Consider the following 15,192-nt stretch of genomic DNA (forward strand, 5'->3'; position numbering starts at 1 on the left):
TGTAGCGTGTTTAGCAACTGTGGTTGTGTTGGGGTTTGGGGTCAGTGAGATGAGGGATAAGCAAGCTACACAGCAAACAACCAAAAGGGGAGAAGCGGTTTTAACTAGGTCAAAGGTGATGGGATTTGGGGGTTCAAATCACTTATGTCAAGCCTAAAACTTGATAAATGCAACAACAACTATATTAAACAAATTTATGACATAATTCCTGCACCCTGAGTTTCAGAAACATCCTGCAACTCATTTTGACCAATGACCTAGTAAGCAGAAGTGACACATGTTCCTTCCAGGTGGAAGCTTTTTTTATTTTTTATTTTTTAGAGATGGGATCTCACTCTGTTGCCCAGGCTGGAATGCAATGATGCTATCATAGTTCATTGCAGCCTTTAGCTCCAGGCCTCAAGTGATCTTCCCACCTTGGCCTCCCAAAGCACTGGGATTACAGGCATGAGCCACTGTGCCTGGTCCCCAGACGGAAGCTCCTACTTGGCAGTTTGTGTCTCCACACCTGTGTCCTACTGCTCTGGTGAGCTTTGAAGCATATATTGATATGAAGGTGAGATACCAAGTGGTAATATACAGAGTCACCTGGACTAAAAGGGGCCATTGCTGCCAATATTTTGGGGGCAATTTGTTTTTCCAGCCTGACCTACCTTATCCTGGCTGACAAACATAGGTTCCCTAACAAGCACCTAAGTCAGATCACACTTGTCTAACAATTGCTGAGCTCCATTTGCACATCAGAGTTAGAGTTTCGACCAGCTTTTCAGTCCCCATTCTTAAATGTTAGCATATAGCCATAATCAGGGGTCACCACTTATGTTAAGTGTATAACATGAAAAATGGTTAAATCTACAAGCAGAAAAAAAATCCAACTTTAAACAGAGACTCTACTGAGAGAAGAAAACTTTTCAAAAATGTAGTCCTCCTTATCTGAGATTTTAGTTTCTGTGGTTTCATTTACCTGTGATCAACCCCAATCTGAAGACAGATAAGTACACTACAATGAGGTATTTTCAGAGAGAGAGAGTCTACATTCACATGACACAGATGGTGATAATTGTTGTAGTTTATGATGATTTATTGTGGTTAATCTCTTACTGTGCCTAATTTACAAATTAAACCATCTCATAAGTATGTATATCTAGGAAGATATATAGGATATATAGGGTTTGTCACTATCCAAAGTTTCAGGCATCTACTAGGGGTCTTGGAATATATCCCCATCCGATAAGGCGAGAATACTGTACTGTCATTACCATCTTAATAGGCCTGAGAAGATTTAAACAAACAAAAACAATAACACAAGTTCCACTTGGAGAAACAAAGGCTAGTAAGCTTAAAACCTATGAAATTATCAACAAAGTGACTGAGTAATAAAGTTCAAGAAATCTCCTAGAAAGTAGAGTAAAATGAACACTAGAAGAAGAAACTGGAGAACATGTTCAGGGTTTCCATTGTTCAAATAATGAGACTTTCAGACACAACAGAGAAAATGAAATAATTCAAGAACATTTCCCCAAATAGATATGCATTTCTAGATGAAAAGGGCCCAGCGAGATGCCCAGCACAGAATATCCAATAGTGCCGCATCAAAGGACATCATGATAAAATTTCAGAACACAATGTAAGAGACACTATATATAAACTTAAGTCTTCTCATCTATAAACTTGCTGCATCTCTACATTTATTTAGATCTTCTTTTAAGACCATAGATGATAGTTGTAGGGATCATGGTTCTCCTTTAGTTTTGGCTTTCAATTTTATTGTGTTGTCGTCAAGGGCTCCATGTTCTTTGTGTTAAAACCATTTGCTAATAGTTAATATTTCCTTTTTGCCTTAATATATGCTCTCTTTTCTAAATATCTTATGTGAGCTTTAATTTATGTGCTATATCCACTAGTCATTACCCCACCTGTAGTGATGGTATAGAGATATATATATTATATATATGTTATTCAATAAATATATATTAATATATTTAACAGTTTATTGAATATAGATATCCTATATATATATAGAAAAATATATATATTTATTGAATATATATAGATTACCCCAACTGTAGTGATGTTATCTATGAATATATATATATTAGTCAATAGATATTAAATATATATTTATTGATTTATTACATAAAGCTTTAATTTCAAGCCAATGCAATAAGAAACATTCCTTTAAGAAGTTAGAAACAACTAAAATACAAGTATCAGACAGATAAAAATAAAAATATCAGCGATTTTACTATTAAAACCCAGACTGGAAAATGTGATTACATATGATATGTAATATTTCACCTAAGAATTATTATCAAGTCAGAAGCATAGCTGAAAAAATATCACTGACTTTTCTCAAAGGGAATAGAGTCTGCCTCATTTACTCCATGATAAAGCGCAGGGAAGAATGTACCTTCACCGTAGCCTGGCAAATCCAAAAGAGGATGAGAAATCTAAAAGTTTAGCACATTTTGTTTTATGTGTTTGTTTTTTGAGTCGAGTTCCTTATAAATTCAGGAAATTATTACCCTGCCAAATAAATAGTTTGCAAATTTTTTTCTATTCTGCAGGTTTTCTATTCACTCTATTATTTGTTTTGCTGTAGAGAAGCTTTTTAGTTTAAAAATGTTACATTTGTCTATTTTTATTTTTGTTGCCTATGCTTCTAAGATCTTAATCATGAATTCTTCGCTGAGACCAATGCCCAAATAAGTTTCCTTAGATTTTCTTCTAGTATTTTTGTGGTTTCAGGTCTAACATTTAAATCTTTAAAAGAAAGCATATAAATGCAAATGACTAATGGGCATATTTTGCTTCTATTTTGTTTCTAACTTCAGAAGAAAAAGAATGTTTCTAACTCTACTGGTTCCAAACACAACTCCTATCAAACTGTAGATATGATCACTACAGTTAATGACTAGTATATATAGCACCAGGCTTCTTTGTTTGTTCATTTGTTTCTTCTTGACTTCTATTAAATGTCATTAATACTCTTTTCCTCAGTGGATTAGGAATGTATACATCCTATATTAATTATTTAAGTGGTTAACTTTGAATTTTTAATATTCAATAAAATACATATTTGTGTGAATATAACATAAAGTTAATTAAGATTTCACACTTCTTCCTAATACAAACATGTTAGAATAAACAATTATTTCCAAGTGTTGTAATTACATTATGATTTGAACTCCCTAATATAACCATTGCTTTGCTTTTTCAGCCAACATTAATAGACAGTTACTTAGATGCTTGTCAGTTACCTTGATCACTATTACAACTTTCATACCACTCTTTCATTCTGGGTTGAGTTTCCTGCATTTTTAATTGTGGTCTTAAATAATTTTTTAGAATTGAAAAAAAAAAAGTGAAGACCCAAACACAGTCAGAAATGACAAAAGTGACATTATAAATGATCCCACAGACTACAAAAGATCCTCAAAGACCACTATGAACATCTCAGTCCCATAAACTAGAAAATCTTGAGAAAATGGATAAATTCCTAGAAACACACCACCTCCCAAGATTGAATCAGGAAGAAAGTGAAATCCTGAACAGACCAGTAACAAGTTCCAAAATTAAATCCGTAATAAATTTTTAAAAACTCTATGAACCAAAAAAAGCCTTGCACCAGATGGATTCACAGCTGAATTCTACCAGATGTACAAAGAGAAGCTGGTACCAGTCCCCCTGAAACTATTCCAAAAAAGTAAGGAAGAATGACTCCTTCCTAACTCATTCTATGAAGCCAATATCATTGTGATACCAAAACCTGGCAAAAACACAATAAAATAAGAAAACAGCAGGCCAGTATCCCTGATGAACATAGATGCAAAAATCCTCAGCAAAATAGCAAACTGGATTCAGCAGCACAAAAAAATTTAACTCATCATAATCATATGGGTTTTATTCCTGGGATGCAAGGTTGGGTCAATATACACAAATAAATAAATGCGATTCACCACATAAACAGAATTCTAATAAAAGCACATAGTTATCTCAATAGACACAGAAAAGGCCTTTGATAAAATCCGACATCTTTCATGATAAAAACAGAGTAAGCACTGAAGGAAAATACCTGTAAAGAAGAGCCGTCTATGACAAACACACAAGTAACATCCCACTGAATGGGCAAAAGCTAGAAGTGTTTCCCTTAAGAAGTGAAACAAGACAAAACGTCTACTCTCTCTACTCCTATTCAATGTAATATTGAAAGTGCCACCCAGAGGAAAGAGAAAGAAATAAAAGGTATCCAAATAGGAAATGAGGAAGTCAAATTATCTCTCTTTGCTGACAATACAATTCTATGCCTAAAAAATTCTAAAGAATGCCAAAAGTCTCCTAAACCTGATAAGCAACTTCAGTAAAGTTTCAGGATACAAAATCAATGTACAAAAATCAATATTATTACTATATACTAATAACATTCAAGCTGAGAGCCAAATCAATAGCATAATCCCATTTGTAATAGCCTTAAAAAATAAAATACCTAGGAATACATCTAACCAAGAAGGTGAAAGATCTCTACAAGAAGAACTACAAAACACTTATGAAAGAAATTGCAGATGACACAAAGGGGGAAACATTCCACACTCATGGATTAGAAGAATCAATATTGTTAAAGTGGTTATACTGCCAAAAGCAATCTATAGATTCAATGCTACTCCTATCAAATGACCAATGTCATTTTTCACAGAATTAGGGAAAAAAAATCAAAATTTATATGGAACAAAAAAAAGCCTGAATAGCCAAAGCAATCCTAGGCAAAAAGAACAAAGCTGGAAGCATGACATTGGCCAGCTTCAAAGTATACAAGGCTACAGTAACAAAAACAGCATGGTACCGGTACAAAAACACAGACGAAATGGAACAGAATAGATAATGCAGAAATGAAGCAGCACACATAGAAAGAACTGATCTTTGACAAAGTTGACAAACATAAGCAATGGGGAACAGACTCCCTATTCAATAAATGGTACTGGGAAAACTGGCTAACCATATACAGAAGAATTAAACTGGACTCCTACATGTCACCATATACAAAAATTAACCGAAAATGGATTAAAGACCTAAATGTAAGACCTCAAAGTATAAAAATCCCAGAAGAAAACATAGGAAATACCCTTCTGGACTTCATCCTTGGTAAAAAATTTATGACCAAGTCCTTAAAAGCAATTGCAGCAGAAATAAAAGTTGACAAGTTGGACCTAATTAAACCAAAGAGCTTCTGTACAGCAAAAGAAACTATTAACAAAGTAAACAGACACCTTACATAATGGATAAAAATATTTACAACCTATGCATCTGTCAAAGGTCTACTATCCAGAGTCTATAAGGAAGTTAAACAAATCAAAAAGCAAAACACAAATAACCTCATCAAAAAGTGGGCAAAGTACATGAAGAGACACTTCTCAAAAGAAAACACAGAAGCAACCAATAAACATATGAAAAAAATGCTTAACATCATTAATCATTCCAGAAATGCAAATCAAAATCACAATGAGATAGCATCTCACACCAGTCAGAATGGCTATTATTAAAAAGTCAAAAAACAACAGATGCTGGCAAGGCTGGGAAGAAAAGGGAATATTTATACATTTCTGACGGATATGTAAATTAGTTCACCTGTGGAAAGCAGTTTGGAGATTTCTCAATGAAATAAAAACAGAACTACCATTCCACCCAGCAATCCGATTACTGGTATATACCCAAAGGAAAAGAAATTGTTCTACCAAAAAGTCACACGCACTCATATGTTCATCACAGAACTATTCACAATAGCAAAGACCTAGAACCAACTTAGGTGCCCATCAGTGGTAGACTGGATAAATAAAATGTGGTATGTAGACACTGATATGGTTTGGCTGTGTTCCCACCCAAATCTCATCTTGTAGTTCCCATAATTCCCCTGTGTCATGGGAGGGACCTGGTTGGAGGTAATTGAATCATGGGGACAGGTCTTTCTGTGCTGTTCTCATGATAGTGAATAAGTCTCATGAGATCTGATGGTTTTATAAAGGGCAGTTCCCCTGCACACGCTGTCTTGCCTGCCACCATCCCTTTGCTCTTCCTTTGTCTTCCGCCATGATGGTGAGGCCTCCCCAGCTATGTGGAACTGTGAGTTAATTAAAACTCTTTCCTTCATAAATTACCCACTCTCAGGTATGTCTTCCTTAGCAGCATGAGAACAAACTAATACAGACACCATGCAGCTATAAAAAAATGACATAGTGTCCTTTGCAGCAACATGGATGCAGCTGGAGACCATTACCCTAGGTGAATCAATGCAGAAACAGGAAATCAAATATCACATGTTCTTAGTTAACAGTGAGAGTTAAATCTTGCCTACACACAGATATAGACGAAAATAGACAATGGTGACTCCAAAAAGAGGGAGGGCAGGAGGAGGGCAAGGGCTGAAAAAGTTCCTATTGGGTACAATGTTCACTGTCTGGGTGATGGGATCACCAGAAGTCCAAGCCTCAATATCACATAATATACCTGTGTTACGAACCTGCACATGTACCCCATGAAACTAAGATAAAAATGGAAATTAAAACCAAAAAAAGAATTTGTCAGGGAGTGGTTAGAAATACTCTTTCTTGAAAGTACTCATTTCTTCTACATAATTTAACTCTGTATAGAATTCTATATAGATAATTACTTTCTTTCATGTTTAAAATAAATTATTCTGACCTGGTGTGTGGCTCACACCTATAATCCCAACATTTTGGGAAACCAAGGCAGGGGTATCACTTGAGGCCAGTAGTTCAAGACCAGCCTGGACAGCAAAGCAAAACCCCCATCTCTACAAAAAACTTTTTTTAAAAAAAATTATCAAGGTATGGTGGCATGTGACTGTAGCCCCAGCTTCTTGAGAGGCTGAAGCAAGAGGATTGCTTGAGCCCAGGAGTTCTAGACTGCAGTGAGCTATGATGGTATCACTGCACTCCAGCATGGGCAACATAGAAAGACCCTATCTCTAAAAATAATAACAAAAATAACAATAGAACAAATTATTCTACTTATTTTAGCCTCTGTTATTGTTTCTTTAAAATTAATCTAATGTTTTGTTCTGTTAACAGCCACCTTTTTTTCTGGTCATTTGAAAAAATTTCTCTTTGTCTTTGGTACTGCAGACTATCACTACCATATGTCGAGACATAGATATGCATTTTTAAATTATTTTAATTTTTAATAGCACTTTAAGTCCATATTATCACTAACCTAAATAAGATATAAAATTTTCTAATTTCATTAACTCATAGTATTTTTCAGCCTTATACTTTTTAAAAATAATTTTCTGAATCATTAGTAATAATTATTCCAAATTACCTGTAAATTCTTATCACTAAGAACTAGTATATAACTGAGTACTGTGGTATATTTAATAGATATACTTTTAATACTTAGTTTTAATTACCAATTATGCAAAAATGACCTTTTAAATTTTCTATTTGTATATTCGTTCTAGAAGTAATTTCACAAGAATGATAAAAATCATAACATCAGTATTGCTATAAAATAGCTTAAAATAATATGTTCTTTCAAAATCAGATGTGTGTTCTTTTGCTAAATTCTTCAAAAATCAATAAAGCAAACTTAGGAAAAAGAACTGGGTGACCATTATTGGATGAAATATAGCATCAGGAACTGTCAAAAGATCTAAACAATATTCCCTTCATCTTTAAACTTCAATCCAGAAAAAAAAGTCTAGTTATTATTCATTATTAGAGAGCCACTAATAATTTATCTGATACAGTGACAATTTCCTTGCTATTACTCAGAGCTATAATTTCAAAATAAATTATACTATTTTACCTTAATCTTTGGTTTACAGTCAGAATATCTCATTACTTCATTTCATTCATTGTTTCACTTATTAACAATTTGGATAACTCCATTATTTTTACATAATTTATCAAAAAAGGAAGGCTACTATTGCTATAAAACATTAAGATCAAAAAGAGAACTATATCTCAAAATTCTGTTTCACAAGGAATAGAAAAGGCTTTCATGAAGACAGTTGCATTGCCCTTCAGTTACGAGTGTTGATGAGGCTATAGGGCTACCGGGAACCTTGTATCTTTAGCCATACAGTCACTCTTCTTTGGTTCTCGGGTTATACAGAATCCCTAGGTTTTGGAAAACAACTCATCATTTTAAAAAGTATATCCTCAACTCAACTGACCCAACATACTGGATGCACCCACCAATCATATTTACTAGGAGACATGACCTGACTGAATTAGCTCCTCATACTTTCTTTAAAAATGGGAAATAGTTATGCTAAGCCATCTCAGATTTGTTAGAATCCTTAATGTCCAGCCAAAATACATGTGGCTAATGTTAGCATAAATGACAAGAATTAGTCTAGTAACTAGTGACCAAAGTTAACAGTTTAAATTTAACATAATAAGATTCGTAGCAATTTTATTCAGAAGATATTTGTCAAGTCAGTTTCCTCATAATGAATCTTTTCCATGATATTTACCACCTGTCTTATTAAATGTAAAATTCTAATTCACATCTAATTCTAATCCTTTATTTTACAGTCTGAGTTGCTGCAATATAATTTTTGTTTTTATATTAAAAGACACTAAGAGAAACATATTTGTATTATTTAGTAATTTTATGCCCTGGATTAAATTCATTCAACTTATTCATTCACCTAATTATTGCTAAATGCTTGCTAGGTCAATACAGAAATTAATGAGAGAGTCTCTACTCTCAAGGAAACACAGCAATAGACTATTAGAATTAAAAGAACATTAAAGAGCATGAAAGTATATATATACATGTATTTTATTAAAATTTATATACATTAAGTGCTATCAAAATACATTTTTCTGTATTAATAAATATTTACTCCTTAAAGAGTTTTAAATAAATGAATGCACCTTAATTTTCTTAACCCAATTCCCTACCAATTGGCACTTAATTTGCTTAGGATTTTCATTAACAATGCACAGATTAACATTTTTGAATAAATATGTGCACATACTCTTCATTATTCACACAGAATTGCTGCATAAAAGTGGAATTATTTGGTCTAAGCAAATGAACATTTTAAACACTTTTAATATATTTTGGCAAATTCTCTAATGAAGGGCTGTACCCTTGCCCAACTGGTTACACTCTCCTCTCTGTCTTGCTTTTAACACCTGGACAATAGATAATTGACACTTCATTGTGTGTATGATAGTACTTATTTGTTGTCCAGTGAAGAAGACTTTCCCTTTTTCTTATTATTGTAAATATCCATTTCTGTTCTTTCACCATTTCTCTACAGGAACATTTGTAGTTTTCACATGGATTGTAACAACTATTTTTACGTTCAAGACATCTTTTTGCTGCAATCTATAATGCAAAATTTTCTCCATTTTTCTGTGTGTATCCTCAATTTTGTTGTGGTGTTTTTTGTTGTACCAAAGGTTCTTTTCTTGTGTGATATCAAAACTATTAATTTTCTTTTTATAGATTCTGACTTAAAATATGTAGGCTTTACTCAACTGTATATAAATAAAAATATAGACCTATATATTTTGTTTACTTCCTCATTATTTTTACTTAAGTTTTGGTCCCACAGACATTTACTTTAGACAATGCTATGGGATAAAATTCTAGCTTATTTTTTCAAATATTGATTTAATAATTTAGCCAGAAAGATGTTTTGATTAACTCTCCTCTCTTACTGAAAATGCTCTCATTTGAAAGTTCCAAGAAATGTGGGTCATAGCTAAAGTCAACCAGCTAGACTGTGGCAAAGCCAGAATTTGACCTCGAGTTCAATGCTTTGAATGTGTAGTGGCAAACAGTATGGCTCTGGAATCAATGAGGACCACATTTGAATGGGGCACAACTGGAATTCTGCCACAGCTATGTTACCTTGAGTAAATTACTTCTTCTACACCTGTTCCAAATATTTAGAATAAGGGAACTTAATTATATCAAACTTCCTAATCTTTAGAATAAGGGGAAATAATTATATCAACCTTATCCTGTTCTTGTGTAAATGAGTCATTATTCAATTTATTCATTCAACAATATTAATTAAAAGTGTTCTTTGTAATAGATATTTTTTGAGGTGTCATGACTATAGCTACCTTAAAAATGGATATTTTCCAGAAATAAATTATTTTGACTTCATTATTAACTTAGTGTTGAATTCAAATAATGATCTATAGGATCTGGAGTCCTGCTCCCAGCATTCCATCTGCCCCGTACTCTCACCATTGGAATGGTGAAAAAGATACCTGGTGGAGATATATATATAGATAGATATATAGATATATAGATATTTGACTCGTCTAAGTGTCAAGAAATCTGGTGTCAGATATATCTAGTGGAGATAGATAGACAGATAGATAGATAGATAGATAGATAGATAGATAGATAGATAGATTTGACTCGTCTAAGTGTGAAGGAAAAGGCTGTAAGTACACACTGTATATTCACTCTCCAGCACAATACCTGACACAGAGCTGGCAGTGAATAGATTTTATAAATGAACGAGCAAATTAACAATGTATACGTTCTTGTCCATGCAATTTTATTAAAAATAGAACAAATTGTCTCTAAACATACTTGCCTTTCCTTAGTGAAACTAAAAGCATTTTTAAAATACGTAGACAGATGAAATAGAGATAGAGGAAAATACCCACACTCTCCTGCCTCTGTGTAAATGACAAAAAGAAGGTGCTGTCCTCTCAGATTCATCAGGCCATTCTGATTCGTCATCATTAACTTGCCCACATGGATTCTACCTCTGAATACTTCCAGTTACTTGATTAATACCCCAAAGTAGCACCTACTCAGCCATTCCAGATGACAAGGAAGGAGAGAAAACACTCCTAATGCACTTTGTAGGTAACATAATTTATCTTTTTTGTTCTCAATTTAAGTATTGACTTGGTGGTGCCAAGCAATGTGCTTGGAATCAGGGAGGCAGGTGATCAGAGCACAGACTGGGTCTAGACTTCTGGATTTGATCTTGGCTCCACTGCTTATGGTCACTTAACTTTCTAGTGCCTCAGTTTCCTCATCTATAAAAGCAGGTAATAATAACAGTGCCTATTTTATGCGACTGTTGTGAAAATTAAATGACTTAACATTTGTGAAGTACTTGGAACTGTACCTGACACCACAGCAAGGGCTCTGTAGATATTATCAAATAAATTAATACACTTTACCACTTCCTTAGCAGAGCACTCCCTGACCAAGTTACATCCCTTTACCTTATTTCGAGATGGAGTTTCGTTCTTGCTGCCCAGGCTGGAGTGCAATGGCACAATCTAGGCTCACCGCAACCTCCACCTCCCGAGTTCAAGTGATTCTCCTGCCTCGGCTTCCCAAGTAGCTGGGATTACAGGCACGCACCACCACACCTGGCTAATTTTGTATTTTTAGTAGAGACGGGGTTTCTCCATGTTGGTCAGGCTGGTCTTGTACTCCCGACCTCAGGTGATCTGCCTGCATCAGCCTCCCAAAGTGCTGAGATTACAGGTGTGAGCCACTGCTCTCGGCCTACCATATTTCATAGCACCAATCACCAGGTCTGTCTCTGTGTAATAATATTTCCTTCATTTTTTAATAACGCAATTTTCTTTCCCCATCAGACCATAAACCACTAAGAGCAAAACTATGAATTTATTCACACCTTTGTGTGTTGCTGTTATGCATATAAGAGTATTCAAAAATTACTTTGTTTTTCTTTAATGTATTAATACAATAAATCTCCAAACTAATTTTTTCTTTTATAGGTCTTTATAAGCCTTGGTATAATTTATAAGCTTGGTTAATTAAATTTCTTTATGAAAATAATCATTGCATCAAATATTCATGGAGCTAGAATTTTTGGCATGCTAATGTCTTTTTACAGATGACAAGGTTGTGATTTGATCCATAACTACGGCCATGACTGCCAGGCTCTTGAAAAGATCTTGAATTCTTTTCACATACTTATTACTCAAAGGCCATATTCCTTAGAACTGTTACATTTATTTATTAGTAACACCTTAATGTAAGATGGTAAAATAGCATCTGATTGAAGGCAGAAAAGCTCTCCTGCCATTGTCTGGCTTGCAGGCATAAGATTTAACATCTTTCTACTTACATATTTTCACCCATGATGGCATCCACTAAACCTAAATCAGTGTCTGGCTCATGAATGAACAAAATATAAGCTCAGAATGGCATAAGAAAACCTTATTCATGGATCCCATCCAAACACAAATTCACAATGCTTAAAAATGAAAAGTAAATCCTGTAATGCTCAAATTTATGTAGTTATCTTAGAAAAAAAAAATATTTTTAATTGCCTGGAGTCCTCATAGCTTCTTGTTAAGCTTAACAAGAGGTATAAAGCCATGACTAAAATATTCACACTCCACTCTAGTCCCTATTTAAAAAAAATAAAAAAGGGAATCACTAGTTTATTCATCTTGCCTAATGACACAGAAGGGCAAAACAAGCACCCAAACAATGAATAATAATGTAAGAGCTCAGACTGTAAAATCAATATGTCAGATCAGCAGAGCTTTGCTTCGTTTTAGTGCTCTCATGTCTGAATGCAGCACAGCTTATCTTCTGAATTATATATATATATATTGGCCTAATTACATAAATATTGACTTTTCCTTATATGAAGTTTATTCTTTCAATCTCTCTGTAATTACCATGTCAATATTTGTGGCTGTAGTAACAATGAATTTAAATCTGTTAATTGTGACTGATAGTGGCATGCTATGAGATAATTCAGTCACTTAGTCTCAGAACACTGATGGCACTAGATAATAAGTGATGAATCAGTAATTCCCTAGGTATATCGTACTAAGGTAAACATCTTTAAAAAGCAATTCTTTCAACCCAGTTAATTAAGGGGATAGTTTTTTCCTCAACTTGTCAGGTTTCATAACGTACGGAAGTAATAACCAGAATGCGACTGGATCTTGGTGTATGACTTTGCCCGCTTTTTTTTAAATGAAACACTTTATCCCTAACTTCATTCTCCAGTCCACCCATTAACAACTTCTTTGATCTGTTGATAGATATCTACACCTCCATCCTCACAGCTGTATGTGTGTATGGAAGATATAATTTAACATTTGTTGCTATTATTCTTTGCTATTTGCTATTTCCATAAAGGTCCTAATTCCTGATCTCACTTACATGTGGAATCTAAAATAGCTGAAGTCATAAAAGGGGAAAGTAAAAGGGTGGCTGCCAGGGGATGGATGTGGGGAAGGGAGGGGAGATGGTGGTTGGAGGGTACAAAGTTTAGTTAGACAGGAGGAAGAAATGTTTTAGACCATTGCGCAGCATGGTAACTATCATTCATAATGTACTGTATATTTCCAAATTGCCAAGAAGGTACATTTCAAATGTTCCCTCCACAAGAAAAATGCTAAGGATGTGAGGTGATGGATATGCTAGCCAGCTTGACTTTATCATTCCTCCTGGTATACTTGTCAAAATATCACATTGTACCCCATCAATATCTATAAAATTTGTCAAGTAAAAATGAAAATAAATTTGAAAAAGATCTTAGGCCTACTTTATTCTAATGTAAAATATGATCTGTAGAAATTCTACTTTTAAAAAATATTTTATTCAATTATATCCCCTCAACTGGTTTTATTTTCATGGGAAAAGTTTTCAGTTACTGAAGGTGATAAATCTCTGAAACAAGAACTAATCCCATACCTAGGATATATTAATTAATTAAATGTCTTCACTTACTTACCAGTGGCAGAGAAATGTTCCAAAAATTTTAAAAAGCTAAAAATCTTTTCACTTTGCTCTTATAATATTTGAGAATTTTCACACAAGAGCTTGAACTCTCCAATCTAAGTAGGACAGAAATACCTGTGTCATATTAATTATGTTAGAGTTAGGTGAACATAGAGAATGGTCCCCAAAAACAATGCTGTCCACACTTTGAGTTTAAGAGTTGTTCTAGACGTATTATGGTGAAGTGGTCATGCATCACCTGTGCTTTCTTATTTGCCTCTACAGGGATGCCAGATGATATGAACTTCAGTGATGTAAAGCAAATCCATCAAACAGACACTGGCAGTACTTTAGACACAACAGGAGCAGGATGTGCAGTGGCGACTGAATCTATGACATTCACTCTGATAAGTGTGGTGATGTTACTTCCCGGGATTTGGTAACTGAACTCTTCTGTCCTGACATACCTTACTGAAGTCTCGATTTCTTCTCTCTCTGCATATGCCTGGAATAAGAGATCCTTTTTCAATGTAACAATTATATTTATGAAAAGATATGTTACACTAACTTCTCAGAAGCCAAGCTGAAATATTCATAAAGTCCCTAAAACTCAACGTTTAAATGACACACTTTAAAAATATGTCTTTTTTCAATCTAACTGAAAACCTTCTTAACTTCTAATATATTAAATCTGAAGATGTGAAGGGCACAGAAGTGACTTTGAATAAGAAGAATTTAGTGTATCTGTAATTTTATTATCAATTCCAAGCCCCTTCCTTTCTAAATTAAAAATGTTTTCATTTGAAAGTGTATTTGCCAGACAATGAAAACAGTATGCAGTATTTCTTAAAGTATTGAAATTAGAATATCATGAAATAAATCAAAACATACAATGGCAAGTAGTATGCATGCATATTCAAGAGACTCTTCCATTTTTGCAAGCTGTAGAAGGAAATGTCTGAATGTCTATAAGTTATGGGGTAGATTCTTGAGAAGCATTTCATATAATTTCACTGAAGAACCTTGATAATTTTGACCCACTGTAACTTAGCCACTGATGAACCTTAAAGCTGAGTATTTTATTAACACCTGATTTGTATTCCATTATATTCAAAATGCATCTTTGGTATTGTGCCTCTGCTCCCATCTCTCTCTTTGCCTCATAGATTTAGCTATGTTGGGAAGCACATGCTTGCTCTAGGAATATCTCCAATAAAGCTGTTAACTATTTGGTGGAAAAATTTGAAGAATATTTGTCATTTTCTTCTGGCAAAAATGCTATTTTCACCCATTTTCAAAATATTATGTACTACTTTTTAAAGCCTGATGTTGTACAATTGGCTACCTTTGCATTTCTAAGGTTCCTATGAATATCTGCAGACATGTACAGAAAAGATGATATGCAACACTTTAGCTCTTTCCTATTTGCTCATTAATGGAGCTGCAAACCAACAGTCCCTAATT

At 34.0% G+C, this 15,192-nt stretch overlaps 1 protein-coding gene across 1 annotated transcript in view; it reads left to right on the top strand.

Annotated features, from left to right (window-relative positions):
• Positions 1–14,969, top strand: part of GPC5 (glypican 5) — a 1,468,617-nt gene extending 1,453,648 nt beyond the window's left edge. The window contains exon 8 of the mRNA NM_004466.6: positions 14,014–14,969. Coding sequence (NP_004457.1) covers positions 14,014–14,171 — 158 coding nt within the window. The 3' untranslated portion in view covers positions 14,172–14,969. The remainder of the gene's footprint in view (positions 1–14,013) is intronic.

Source organism: Homo sapiens, chromosome 13, assembly GCF_000001405.40.
Source record: "Homo sapiens chromosome 13, GRCh38.p14 Primary Assembly".
Classification (NCBI taxonomy): domain Eukaryota; kingdom Metazoa; phylum Chordata; class Mammalia; order Primates; family Hominidae; genus Homo; species Homo sapiens.